Below are 14,495 nucleotides of genomic sequence, written 5' to 3' on the forward strand. Positions count from 1 at the left end.
ATAGCTTAAAAATCATGAGGCTGCTGACATGCCCTGATAACTGGTGGCTATAGTTAACGTCTGTTAAGATTGGGTGTATGGGGCTTGGCTTTGGTTAGCTTCCTTGGTTTGACCTTCCCCAAAAAGGAAACCTCCAGGTTATGGGGGCACTTTATTTACTCTTATTACCTGGCAGAATTTGTAGGATAATTGCCCAGAACTAGAATATTGTTCCAGATTTTGACATTACCCATCCCTTTCTGTCTCTCTGAGCTGCAGCCAGAGATGGCTGGTTGGTTTACAGGAATAAGCAGGGTTAGTCTAAAATGTAGGCAAGAACTTAAAAATCACTAATGAGACTAGAAATTAATGACCACTGTATGATAAGTTTTGAAACATAATTTCCCTCTCTCCAGTCCTCCTTTTTGTTAAAAACAAATCATGATAGGACTGAGTTGTTTGCAAAATAGACTTTAGTTTTAAACTTGGTCTGATTATTTACATAAGTGCAGCAAGAATCCTTATTTTTACATAGGCCTTTTAGATTGGCTTTGATGGAACTTTGTTCCACAAGGAATCTTAGATAGGACTTTCTAAAGCCGATCTAGACGTGGTCATGCCTCTAATCCCAGCACTTTGGGAGCCCAAGACAGGCAGATCACCTGAGGTCAGGAGTTCAAGACCAGCCAGACCAACATGGCAAAACCCCATCTCTATGGAAAATACAAGAATTAGCTGGGCGTGGTGGCAGGCACCCATAATCCCGGCTACTTGGGAGGCTGAAGCAGGAGAATCCCTTGAGCCTGGGAGGTGGAGGTTGTGAGCCAAGATCATGCCACTGCACTCGGCCTGGGCGACAGAGCGAAACTCTGTCTGAAAAAAAAAAAAAAAAAAGAAAGTGACATTCTTTACTCACCACAGGTTAGGAACCCTGTACAGGGGCTGTGTAGACAAGGTATGAGGCCGGTTTTCCAGGAGGCTTTTACTGGCTCTGCAAGTCGAACTTGACTCTTTAAAGGGAAACACACCCTTTCAGTCAAAGCCTTGGTAAAACAACGAGTTTTTCCAATTGTGTTTTGTTGCAAAATAAAGTAGATTCTTATTGCGCTGATGCAAACAACTATATTGTTATAAGTCAAGAATACTTACAACCAGTTTCTGAATTCTAGAGAAACCAGGCAGAGAGAAACAAACATGTTCCAAATTTTGTTCACAGGAGTATACCTTACTTAGTTGTTAAAAGCTCTAGCTAATTTGAAAGAAAGTTTCCTTGACTCTGAAAAACAAAACAAGAATTAGCAGTGTTCAAAGCAAAAATCAAAAAGATTCGTTTAGTTTTCTATTAGGTTAGTCCATTCCATTAACTCTTGTTCTGCTTAATATTTGTAAACATTTCAGCTTTTCATGAGTCCTTTACATTTTTCTATTATCAGAAACCTGCATTCAAGAGTACCTATTAAAGTTCCACAGTGATTATAAACCATTTTTTGAAGAAGATTAAAATAAGACAACAATTGTCTGTAAATGACAAAATGTCCAGGGTGGTTACAGTCAAGAACATGATTGACAAATTTGGTTATTTCTGTGGCATACAATAACCCAACATAACAACCTTAATTGTGATTGATAGCAAATATTCAGACATTAGAACCTTAGACATCCCATACAATTTTGGACATATGTTAATATTTTTCCCTAAAACATAACCTGAAGAATATTAGACCTCATTTTGGCAATCCCATGTACCTAAACATGTTAAATAATCCTGTTTACCTCTCTTCAGCATGCTCCAGGGACCCTTTGTAGCACCCAAAAGCAAGGGGCCAGGAAAGACAACCTTGAGACTGAAGTTTAATTTTGGGAAGCCTGTGAAATATGTTAGAGGCTTAAAACACTGGATATTATGAAATAAAATTTTACCATAAGTCATTTGTTTTGCCAAAACAATGACTCAAAAATTTGAAAAAAAAAACAACAACAAAAAAAACCTTTTCATTAGCCCTTATTACTACATGAATAGAGAGCCAAATTTACCCTTGCATTAGTCTACTATTAATGTTAACCCCAGTTTTTAATGAAGCCTTATAGACAATCCTATTCAATCTTAACCAGTTTGACCATGAGGTGAGATTTTTACATACATTTTTTTGTATGGTTATTTTATAACCCTTTACAAGTTTTGCTGAAGAGTAGGTCAGCATCGTAAGAAAACCTTGTTGTGCTTTTATTTCAAAGTTTAATTTACAGAAAAAAATATATAATACCCTTTTGAATTTAGTCAATATGTTCACACACATAGTTTCCTTTGCAAGATTAATATTTACAGTCTTTTCACAATTTGCTTAAACCTTCTGCTTTATTTTATCTAATTTAAGACAATCCTTTATCTCTAGGCAAAATGGACATTTCCATGCCTTCTTATAATCTTTTAACTAAAAACACATTTTGCTGTTTTTACACACCTTGCATGCAAATCCATGTTCAGTAGTCTCAATTACATGTCATAATGGTAACTCTTAGCGATTTTTAACTTTAATGTAAAGCCTGGTAAGTTGTTTTAATTATGTGCTAGATGCAGATAAAGTCTGATTCCTTTCAGCGTAGTTAGGAGCATGGTCACTTCTATTTGTTCCCAGACCATACTAATTGTGAAGCAGGCAAGTTGACAGTTTTTAAAAGGCCAAAGAAGCAGTTTGCAACCTTAAAACATTTAGCAAAGCTAGTATCTGACCTGCATAATAAATTAGACCACATTTTTACACCTTGAAGACGTTTGTATTTTACCAATAATTCTTGTCTGTTTTTATTTTAAATATTAAAGTCATATGAACTGAAAGGTACCACAGCTTTTACTTTTACTGCAAAATATTTTATTTCAGTGCTTATTATTCTTAGGCCAATTAATTGGCCTTTTTATAGACTTCACATATATATCACATGTATGACTACACAGACAGACAGAAGAAGATCCAGCAGCTCAGGGTGGAGCCCTTTTACGAACAGGGGTATGAATATAGTTTTCAGGGCTTAATAAACAAGCACAGCCAGAAGACAAAGACAGATGTTGAGAGGGGCTTATCCACCTCTAATTCCAGGGGTTCCATGAGGAAAACAGGGATTTCTCCAAAATGGGATTTGTGGCACCTTAATCTATTTCCCAGGGAGTCCCAGGCCACCAGAAGTCATTCTAGGGTCTTTCACGTATGCATCAAGAATGATAAGACACAGTGGAAAAAAGTAATTCAGTTGACTGAAAAAAAACAACAACAACAAAAAACCTTTTCCAGAAAAACAAGATCTATGAAGAGAAAAACATAAAGGCCTTTTACATATACCCATAGCTCGGATATCCACTTTGAGGTAAGCTGAGCATTCTTTAAGAAAATCCTTTCTCATTAATTAAAATTTTACAGAGAATGTAAACAGTGATCTTCATCATTCCTTTTACTGGTTTGCACCACTACCTTTTCACAATCATGTTCAAGTTCTCCAGTTTCCTTTGGGAGAAAATGGCTCGGCTCTAGCAAGGGCAGGTTTTCCTCTGGACCACAGATCCCTCCAGTAGCAAAGCTTGATAGTTAAGGAGGCGATTGTCTGTTAGCCAGGGACTTTCCTTAGAGGGCAGCACTCCTGCTATATTGTATGGGTTGTAAACAGTTGTTTCCCATGGGTAACCCAGTGGCCTCTGGCACCAACAAAGCTGCCATTGTAACTGCTTAGAGGCAGGCTAACCAGCCTTTAGCCACCAAGTTAAGTTCCTCACTTAGGTAACCCACTGGCTGTTGAGCTGGACCTCAAGCTTCAGCCAGAATTCCCAGGGCCATTTCCTTCTTTTCTGAAGCATAGAGACTGAATGCTTTTCCTTTGGGAAGACTGGGGGTTGATGCTTTAAGTAAGGCTTGCTTTAGTTGGTTAAAGGCAGGTTCCCAAGTTAGTGAGTGAGTTTTAACTGCTTGAGTTTCGTTATGAGGTGGTATAAAGGGCAAGCTATTTCACGGTATCCAGGTACACACAGTCTGCAAAATCCACTAATGCCTAAGAATCCCCTCAACTGTTAAAGGAAATGGGCATCCTTTCTTCACCTGATGCTCTAGTCCCTTCTGATAAGACTAGACCTAGGTACTTTACTGAAGTCTGACAGAGCCAAGCTTTAGATTTTCAGACCCTATATCCCCTTTCAGCTAAGAAACTGAAGAGAGCCTCAGTGCCTCCCTGAGACTTCCTTGGTTGGGGGACAGAGGAGAGTGTTATTTATGTACTGCAAAGTTTCAACTCGAGGGTGAGAAAAATTAGATCTTTGGACAGGGCCTGTTTCAGCAACTTTCTTCCCATATTAAGGGCTGTCTGAGTAATAAACCTGTTCTTTATTGAATAAAAAGGTTTAAAGATTTTTATTTAGCTTTTGGACTATCATGGAAAGCTTGGAAGAGTTAATAGGTTTGGCTCTAATCCCCTGCAAGTTCTCCAATATACACATTTGAAAGAGTTTCCTTCCCCATTTTCTGATGCTATCATCATGGTCCCATTTATGGTCCTCCAAGGGCACTGGTATTTTCCCCACTTGCTTCTCCATCCCTGGAACATCCAGGAGAGTTTAAATACTTGGGTTAAATCTTGGAAGGCCTCTATACGGCAGTGAAGTTGGGGCTTGCCCCGAGTGAACTTTAGGGTCTGAGGACTAAAGGAGATCCAGGCTGCACTCAGGGGTAGTGCAGACTTGAAGATGGGGTGTTATCCATGTAGAAAAGAGGCAAGAGAAGAGGCATCCCTCAGTCTCCTTCTCTTCAGAGTGACCCAAGATGGAGGGAAAGGCTGGAGGGGCATCCCCCTTCACCCCCTTCCTCCCGTCCTTTGGGTCCCAGTGACCATCCTTCATAGGTGCCGCCCCATGTTTGCAAGTATGACCTTCATTTATGGTCCTGGAGAAGCTAGTCAGCATAACTAGTCATGCTCATCTGCTTATGGCCTTGGCCCTTCACCCTTGCTGGTTTCCTAGACCTACTTTGCCCATAAGGTTCCCAGGGTACCCTAAGGGTCCAGGAGAGATTGTATTTGGGCAAGACACCTTAATGGAATGGAGGAAGTCTTTTAATATTATCTCTGGCTTCCCTTGCTATGGCCCTAGTGAAACATTGAAATCCCAGAGAATGGGACCAATTGACTTCCAAATATAAAATCCCCTTTTTGTTTAAATGCCAATGTAGTTGGATGTAGAACAGGTGCCTCAGAAAAGAACATATGAGGCCGGGCGCGGTGGCTCACGCCTGTAATCCCAGCACTTTGGGAGGCCGAGGCGGGCGGATCACGAGGTCAGGAGATCGAGACCATCCTGGCTAACACGGTGAAACCCCGTCTCTACTAAAAATACAAAAAATTAGCCAGGCCTGGTAGCGGGCGCCTGTAGTCCCAGCTACTCGGGAGGCTGAGGCAGGAGAATGGCGTGAACCCGGGAGGCGGAGCTTGCAGTGAGCCGAGATCGCGCCACTGCACTCCAGCCTGGGCGACAGAGCGAGACTCCATCTCAAAAAAAAAAAAAAAAAAAAAAAGAAAAGAACATATGAATTGAATGGCTGTCCTCTTGACTGTTAAAGATGGAGCTTTGATATTTACAGATGGGTCATGGAGCCTGGTCCCTAATAGAGGGACATAGGAGGGAGGGGAATTGAGGAACTAGAGGTTTTCGACAAACAGCCAGCAAGACTCCCCATGGAGAAAAAAATCCCATCCCACTAGGTGGCGCTGTAGGATCTGAGATGTTAGGTAAAAACTCTGACTCCATCTATCCAGGCAGAAGTTAGAGAGGTTTGGGGTTTAATAGGCTGTCCCCAGCGGAATAAAATTAACTTGTCTCATAAAGAAACTGTTTAAATTCATTGGGCAGTGCTGAGCTTTCACGTGGAGGGAAGAAATAACCCAAAAGGAGAAGGAAACAATCCAAATGGAGAGGGAAGAGGATATTCACTTGGGGTGAAATATCCCCTTATATAGTGCCATCAGTGTCTATCATTGAGGACAAAAAGCCCTTACTAGGTGAAAATTTAAACTGATCTTGAATTTACCCTGTCTCCAGGAAATCACAAACACAACAACTCTTTGTCTTAGTAATCAGGAATGTAACTCAAAGAGTTGTTGTGTTTGTCAGTTGGTGTCTTAGTAATCAGGACTGACTCTACCCAGCAAGACTCTGTCTCTAGGATGCAAAAACACCTGTAACATTGCATAGAAAGAAGGGATAAGAGGCATGATAGCCCTGAAAAGAAAGAAGGAAAATGCAGTAGGAAAAGACTGGAGGTCCTTGTGCCAGCACCCTGACGGCTGTCGGGGACTGGAGATAATACTGAGGGGTAGCCCCAGCCAGAAACCTTCAGTTGCCCTAGGACCTCCTTCCAATCCCATGCAATGTCTGGGCCCTTTGTGAAAGGAAACTGGATTGGAATAGACAAGAAACCTCAGAAATGAAAGTAAAAGGGTAGAGGTCCGCTCTTACTCACCCTTCTGATGATCCCTTCTTCCTGCACCTAAATATGTTGTAGTTTTGCCAATGCACCATAATGTAGCAGTTTCTTGTTCTCTGAACTAGTACCTGGCTTCTTTGTCCTGCGTCCAAGAAAATTGAGCATGGACACAAGGGTGGGGGTGGAGCAAAAGTTTAATAAGAGAGAGAAGAAATGCTCCACAGCAGAGAGGGGAGTCCGAGTGGATTGCCGAGTTACAGCTAAATCCAAAAGCTTTTGTAAGAAACTCTTCTCATCTCTGTAGCAGTTTGAGCAACTTCTCTTATCAGTAAAGCTGTCTGTGCAATTCCCCTTATCTTATGCAGCTGTGGGTATGCCTCTAGGCACGCACAAAGTGCTGCTTCTCTTGTTTAACTGTGGGTTTGTTTTAGGTAAGCCCCCATCCTCTCTGTGCCAGTTTCCATGGAGCCCACCATGTATATGCCTGAAAAGGGGAGGAAACTTTTTCCTGAGAGCTCACTAATTATGGAAAGAACAAAGGGCTTCTGTACTGGACCATGTCTGCTTATCTGTGTGTAGGTGTAGCCTGAGTTTTTTTTTTCCCCAGGTTGTTTTAATTTTACCTGTTGCTGTGACTTTTCAGGCAGACCATTTCTGCAGTCTGAGTTTGCCCCAACTGATTTTTCCTTTCCTTCTGCCTCAGTTCTAGAGGGTATCTCAAAGTAGAAAGATTGTGGGGTGAAGAATAGACATTACTGAGAACAAAATATAAGAGGCATTTCAAAAATATTATCCCCAAAGCAATTCAGGAAAGAACTATGGAGCCGCTGTTATGTGTTATATGCTGGGAATATGGTAGTGAGCAAAATAGCTGAGGCTCCTGTCTTTAATGAGCTTACAGTCTTGAAAATTTTGTAGGGAAGATTTCTATGCAAGGGCATAGAGGTATATACAAAAGGATGATTATTGAAACATTATTATGAAATCAACAGAAATGCCCATCAATAAGGAAGTAATTCAGTAGACTATGGAACAGCCATACTATGGAACAGCCATACTATGGAATATTCAATAATGTATTGAAACATTATTATAATGTTTTCATTCTTATTAAAAGAATTATGTAAGTCTTATACATGCTCACATGGGAGAAAAGTCTATACGTACTCATCTGAACATGTATTCTATATACATACCAGACATGTCTACATGAGTAGACAAAATATTAAAAACTATATACAGCCAACTATTAACAATGATTTCCTCTAGGAGATGAGATTTGACATCTATTAGGGGATATCTCTCCTCCTCAGAAAAGGGAAGTAGAAGCTCTTTTAGGGAGAGGTGGAAAATCTGGAGGGAACAAGAGGATTGAATGTGACAAAACCTGCTGAAGAGAGGCAGGGAGGGAACTTTCACCTTTATGTCGTAAACTTCTATGTTGTTTGAATTTTGTACAACAAACTATGCATTACTTTGTAATTCTTAAGACAAAGAATATAAGTAAGAAAAACACATACCAATAGAGTTATTCTGGCACACAACCTGGTTTACATTTTTTGAATTATTATTTCTAAACTATACATTGGTGAAAGGAGATGGAAACATTATACAACACACAACACAAAATTATGCTCTATTCCAGCTCTGTTGTCCCCTGTCCTCTGTAAGAACGCAAGGCCTGCAGATGTTCCCCAAATGGAGGTCCCTAGGACAGCAAAGGTGCCCCTCACCACCTTCTGTCACCTTCACCCCACCCTTTTCCTCCCTCCTTCAGCCCCTTGATGTTTCTAATTCCGTCCTGTCTCCCATTCAAAGTTTCTATCTTGCCCTTTTCCCCAAGTTGCTATCTTCTGCCTTAGAAGCAAGTCCCAAATTTCCTTTCATGTTTTACGTATTTTCACCAATTCTGGTGTCCGTTGTAAATCAAAATTGCTGTCTTTCTCACCCAGTTCTGCTGTTTTAAGCCCAGTAGTTAGGGTCAGAAGAAGAAAAATGTTGCCTGAGTCCCCATCTGGGTTATAGTTTGTTTGGGGGGATTATTATCCTCACCCATCTAAAATTAGGCATACCTTGCTCTGCCTGCTTCAGTTTCTCTCCAGAAACATTACATCTTCCTACAAGATCTGCTTTTCCCTACTACTGTGTTTTTGAACTTATCCTGAAAGAGTGTTTGGTCCCTCCCAACTTTGGGTTACACTGCAAAGTACTCTTTCAGAATCAAAATGAGTCTTTACCAGTCCCTGTTTGGGGTTTCTTCTATTTAGGAAGAGGCTTCTGGAAACTGTACTCCTGCTACAGTTGTTTCAAATAGTTGTGTAGAACAACTAAGCTCTTTAGCTAATTTAAAAGCTCTAAACAATATTATCACTTTGTTCATTCCACAGTAAATTTCTGAATGCTTGCTATATGCCTCAGGTCAACCTGTTTAATATCTTTCTGAATATTTTAGTAAAACATAGCAATATAGTGTGTTTAGCTTTCAAACGCAGTAATATAATGGTTTATTTAGCAAGTGAAATAAATCTCTTGTGCCAAAAGCTCATTTCAAAAAGGAAAATAACTAAGGTCCAGGTCATGAAAAAAAAAAAAAAAAGCCAACCACCTGATAGCTGTAAATACTATCTTAAGTGTCCTCAGCATAAATTCACAAATTAAGTCTTTTTATTACAGAATAAGTATTGGTTATGCAGTAGCTTTACCTAGGAGTAACTTTATCTCATAACAGCTTCTCTCTTTTATCTTGCATTTCTGTTAAATTTTGAAGGCTATATTTCATTCACTTACCGTAGTTAAGTCGATAGTATGTAATCCAATCAGCAAATATAGTCAGCTTGGAGCCAAGCAGTATAGATTACCTGTAAATAAATATGATGAAATTTTCTCTTTACAGATGCAAGTATTGGCATTATGATGAAAACTTGCTCACTTCGAGCGTTGTCATTGTCTTCCATAATGAAGGATGGTCAACCCTCATGAGAACAGTCCACAGTGTAATTAAAAGGACTCCAAGGAAATATTTAGCAGAAATTGTGTTAATTGACGATTTCAGTAATAAAGGTAATGGCTGTGAAACTCACATTTTGTCTATAAAATAAGTTAAGCATGAATAATTGCAAAAAGGTGATTTCAAAATAATTAGCTTTAAAAAATTAATAGCATCTATTGATAGCATCTGTTATCAACAAGTTGACACTGTGCCAAGCATTGTATGTGAGTTATTTTGTTTAATACTAACAGTAATCCTTTCAGTGGATATCATTATGTCCATTTTACACGCTCAGAGATGTACAAGTAGTACACAAAAATTTGGTTGTACACAAAAATTCAGTAAAGTATACCACTGATTATAATGTTAGAAGCGAAGATAAACATAGGTAGCATGAAAATATCGTTCAAAATGGCTTTATAAAAAAGCTTCCTCCAAAATTTAATTGAGAATTCTTGCAGTCTGGATAAACCTTTGCTGGTTTTGCAAGGACATGATTAGAATCTTGAAACTGTACACATATGTTAGCACGAATAAATAGAAATATGGCCTATTTTTCCTTTCATCTCTGTGCAGCTGATCCTTTTATTAACTAATCATTTTTAAGTATCCTAGAGAATGTATAGCTTTAAAATTTTTAGCCATATCAAATGCCTTTAGAGTAGAGGCTTTAAGATACTTTAAAACTTTTCTTCAGTTCTCATGTTAATGTCAAATCTAAAAGCTTTTAGGCACAACATTTTATGTATGTCCATTTTGTTTATGTCCATCTTTGTTGTGAATTTCTATAACAATAATGTTTTCATTAAAATACTATTTCTATCTCAAGACAAATGATACTGTTGGTACAATAATAATTGAGATGAACAAAAATCTAAATGTATAAAATAACTTTTCAAAATCGCCCAATTTTACTAATTTTAAGAACCTCTATATTATTAATACCAGTAAAAGTTTATCATATCCTAAAAAAAGTGAAGATACACCAAAAGGTATTTAGCATCCTAAAATAACTGCTTTGCCAAAGAAAAGAACACAATTTTGGACCTCAGAGTATTCTGTATTTTTTTACTGTTGTCTTTTTTTTTTATCTTTACTTCTTTTACAAATCTCTAATGAAGACAATCATGCAGGTCCCTTGAGTTTAGAGTAGGCAGAGAAGTTTGGGCTACCCTTGAATGAAAGTACAGCTTTAATTAGTTTTTTCAATTTCAAAACAACCTGAAAATCTCAGTCCTATCCTTAGTAAAATTATATACTGTTTGGTTAATCAGACTTGAGTGATAATTTGGTGTGTACTTTCCCTAATATATTCAGAAAGTAAAACTTTAAAGATTTTTCTTTTAAAGACTAAATGCATATAAAAGGAGCTAACTCGTAATAGCACTTGGGTTTCTGGGCATCACAGTATCCTCTATAAAGGTTTGGAGCTTTTAACTGGAACAAATTCCTCACATACGTGTGCATCAGCTAACTGCGACTGAGTTGGGCCGAAGTAAAAGCAAACCCACACTCTCAGTGGCTCGCACAACAAAGGGTTAGCTTTTGCTCAAACTACACGGTCCTTGTGGGTCAGCCTAGCTCTGCACCCCATCCTCACCACAGGACCCAGGCGTGCAGAGCAGCCTCAGCTCAGACACTGCCTGCAGAGGGGCAGTGGGAAAGAAGACACACACAACCAGCCTCTTAATGCTTCTATGCGTGTGACTGATGTCATTTCCACCCACATCTTGTTGACCAAGGCAAGTCACACATGTCCTAGCCTGCAGTCAGTGGGTTAGGGAGGATAATTTTCATCCGAGGAAGGGCAGTGAATATTTTGAGCCCTTAACACAGTGTACCACAGTGTGAAATACAAGGAAGCCAGAAGGTATTGGATGCACCATTTCCCCCTTTGGTCCATGGTAACCAAGAATCAAAACTTGAAACATAGGCCATCAATTCATTTCTGTCCATAAAAACTTAAGATGTGTTTAACTTGTATATGCAAAAAATCCTCCTAATGGAATTCAAAAAGGCTTTAAAAAAATAATTTAGGACTGCACTGGACTTTAAAAAAGAGGATAAAGGCTTTTTTTTTTTTTAAGTTGAAGGGAAAATTACTCAGGTTTTCTGAGGGGAAAAAACATGATTAAGCACGAGAATTTTATTTATAATACTTATTAAAACTGGGTACCAAAATAGAAAGTTTTTTTTCTCAATTCCAGATACCCACGTGTATCTTACTAATAATAAATGCCCTAAAATGAGTAAAATATTAAGTATACAGTCTGATTTGCCCATTTAGCCACTAACTCATCTCTAAATACAGCAATTTTCCTGTGATTGCATATTCATGGGCCAAATTTTTAAACAATTTTAAAACAATTGAGGACAATGCTTGTGTCCTCAAGAAGCATCTTTTAAATGATCTGCAGCTCATTCTGACCGTGGTGAGCTAATTTCATGGGCTCATAGTGATACAAACAAAAGCTGTTCTCTTGTAATGGGAAGCCAAAGATGGAAATTTTGCCAAATGTGTCTGGTTTTTATAACACAAAACTTCCTCTACTAAATTACAAACACATATATACATATATGTATGTATAATTAGAATTATATTTATAATGTATAATTATACACTTGATGCTTAAGATAAAGAGAAAATGAGATTTTTTTCTTATTTGCCAACTTGGTGGGAACCATATTCATCATACCAAGGTTACAGCTTTCAACACTGATTGTGGTTGGGGAAAGATGTCCCAGAAAAAAATGTTAAATAACCTATACCCTGTGTGGATTCCAGTGCAATTGTATAGTATTGTTAGTAGGCAGTGCATCTTCAGAAACCCTAACCATTGCTTCTGTCAACAGCAAACAAAATGTTGTTCCTGAAAGCGTTCAGATTTGACATTAACATGTGAACAGGAACAAAAATTTTAATATGTCTTAAAACCTTAACTGTCAATTCGAATAATCATTGTTTAGAAGGGTGTTTGATAATTCTCAGACTAACCAGTTCTCTGTAGGCATAGTAAACTCAAAATTAACTTAAATAATATACTTCGCCTTCCTTCTTGATAAAACGTGCAATCTGGTCCATGTAAAATTACTGTCTACCCAATGCACCTGTATTCTTGTTTCCTGAGAAAAATAATAACTAATTGGTTTCTATTCGTCTAATTTATAATATCGATTGATTTTTCTTAACAGAACACTTAAAAGAAAAACTGGATGAATATATTAAGCTGTGGAATGGCCTAGTGAAGGTATTTCGAAATGAAAGAAGGGAAGGTTTAATTCAAGCACGAAGTATTGGTGCTCAGAAGGCTAAACTTGGACAGGTAGGAAGCATTTGATATCTACAATGTCAACATTTTGGGTTTGGTAACTAAATCATACACATTTTTAATCATTCTTCAGTTTTTTTAATTGAAATGAGAATGCTGGCTTAAACAGATAACTTATGTGTCAGAATTGACTATAATGCTAATTTTTATTAGCATCTAATTTTAAATTGTGTGTAATATATGATGTAACGTATATGAGGAGTATTCTTTCACCTGCCTCTTTTTTTTAAGGTTTTGATATACCTTGATGCCCACTGTGAGGTGGCAGTTAACTGGTATGCACCACTTGTAGCTCCCATATCTAAGGACAGGTAACATTACCTTGCTTTTTTTCTTTCCTGGTTGAAAGTAAACCTTGTCCTAGAAGGGCAAATAATATTTTCATCCTTTGATTCCAGCTCCATTCAGTGCATCGAGTGTGCTTTAGTGTTATCCCTCATCTATTTGTTTCCTTGGGTGGAGCTAGACTGATACTGTGGACTGATTTAAATGTAGGCAGTCTGGCATTTGGGAGAAACCTAGGGTTCCTCACTCAAGAATCATTTTGTGGTTGGGTTATTAAGACCCCTCTATCTCCAGGCACTTTCTCTAAGAGTTATATGAATTGCTCCCTCTAAACTGGGGTGAGAGTTCTAAACACTTGAGGAACCATGCTTTGATATTATACCTGTTGATTTTTGTGCCTTTTAAATTAGTACTTTCAATAGTAAAGACCAGGTGTTACTTGTGTCAAGGTTTTGGGTTCCTATAGAAACTTTAAAGTTTAGAAATAGACAACTATTCCATGGAATTGTGACAATCACCATTAAATTTCCAGAAATGTCTAAAACAACATAAGGCACCATCAGTTTTCTATCTCCAAAAGCCTTCCTTGCTTCTAGTCCATAATTAGGAAAATAAAACACGTCCATGTGGCAAATGGCAAATGGCATGAATCAAAGGCAGAACTTTGGAGGATTTAATCATGAGAGGATTTAATGTGAAGGCCGAACATGAACATTTTTCACATGCTGTCTGATTTAATCCTCACAGCAACCCTGCAAGATAGAGATTATTAGCCCCATTTGACTGAAGAGGATACTGAGGCTTAGAGAAATTAAGTAATTTTCCCCAAATCAGAGAGCTAATAAACTGTCAGACCAAGGCCTCCCTGGGAAAGTTTACACTGCACCATGTATTTAGGAATGTGAAAATCATAAGTGAGGACAGTTAACTGACCAAGTGTCAGGTAACTTTCTCTAGGTGAATACCAGCAGGCTTCTGGGCAGTGAGGAAGTGGTTTTCCAGATTCCAGTGGCAGATTCCACAAATCTGACAATGACCCTCCAGTTCACACTCTGGAGAGAAGGAAGCATCTTTCTGGACTTTACTTCCTCCATATTAAAGTTCTAAGCACTGTAGGTTTTCCCTTTTCCTTGGTTTTTAAACTTCTGAAAAGCAGCTTGACCTGGATATAAAAAGCTGTCATTTTCATTTTAGGAAAATAGATTTTAAAATCCTTTCTGACGAGATGAACATTGTAACAAGCAGGGTACCAGATAATCTTTGTAATGTCACTTTGACATCTAATTGGTTATAGAGTACTAGCATTTTCGTGAAGCCCAAATATAAGAGATTTTTTGATCCAAATTCTCAGACCACTTCTGAAGTTCTTCAGCAAGTTTTGAGGGATTTTTTTTGCTTTTTTTTTTTAAAGCAACAATACCTTTTTTTTTTGTTTGTTTTGCAATAAAAGCTGTTTTC

General features: G+C 38.2%; 1 protein-coding gene and 1 long non-coding RNA gene across 13 annotated transcripts in view; one reads left to right on the forward strand and one right to left on the reverse strand.

The window, feature by feature from the left end:
- LOC124900812 (uncharacterized) overlaps window positions 1–6,702 on the reverse strand; it is a 32,965-nt gene extending 26,263 nt beyond the window's left edge. The window contains exons 1-2 of one of the 2 annotated variants that reach the window (XR_007058366.1): window positions 1,129–6,702; window positions 896–989 (exon numbers count right to left, since the gene is read on the reverse strand). This is a non-coding gene — a long non-coding RNA (uncharacterized LOC124900812). Of the gene's footprint in view, window positions 1–895 lie in introns of both variants that reach the window. The other variant, XR_007058367.1, reaches the window with a different exon arrangement.
- The window catches only part of GALNT7 (polypeptide N-acetylgalactosaminyltransferase 7), a 155,157-nt gene that overhangs the window by 113,970 nt on the left and 26,692 nt on the right, over window positions 1–14,495 (forward strand). For 10 of the 11 annotated variants that reach the window (XM_047415780.1, NM_001375599.1, NM_017423.3 and 7 more), the window contains 3 exons: window positions 9,328–9,494; window positions 12,616–12,746; window positions 12,984–13,063. In XM_047415780.1, coding sequence (XP_047271736.1) covers window positions 9,328–9,494; window positions 12,616–12,746; window positions 12,984–13,063 — 378 coding nt within the window. The remainder of the gene's footprint in view (window positions 1–9,327; window positions 9,495–12,615; window positions 12,747–12,983; window positions 13,064–14,495) is intronic. The other variant, NM_001375601.1, reaches the window with a different exon arrangement.

The sequence above is a fragment of the Homo sapiens genome, chromosome 4 (genome assembly GCF_000001405.40).
Source record: "Homo sapiens chromosome 4, GRCh38.p14 Primary Assembly".
NCBI lineage: Eukaryota > Metazoa > Chordata > Mammalia > Primates > Hominidae > Homo > Homo sapiens.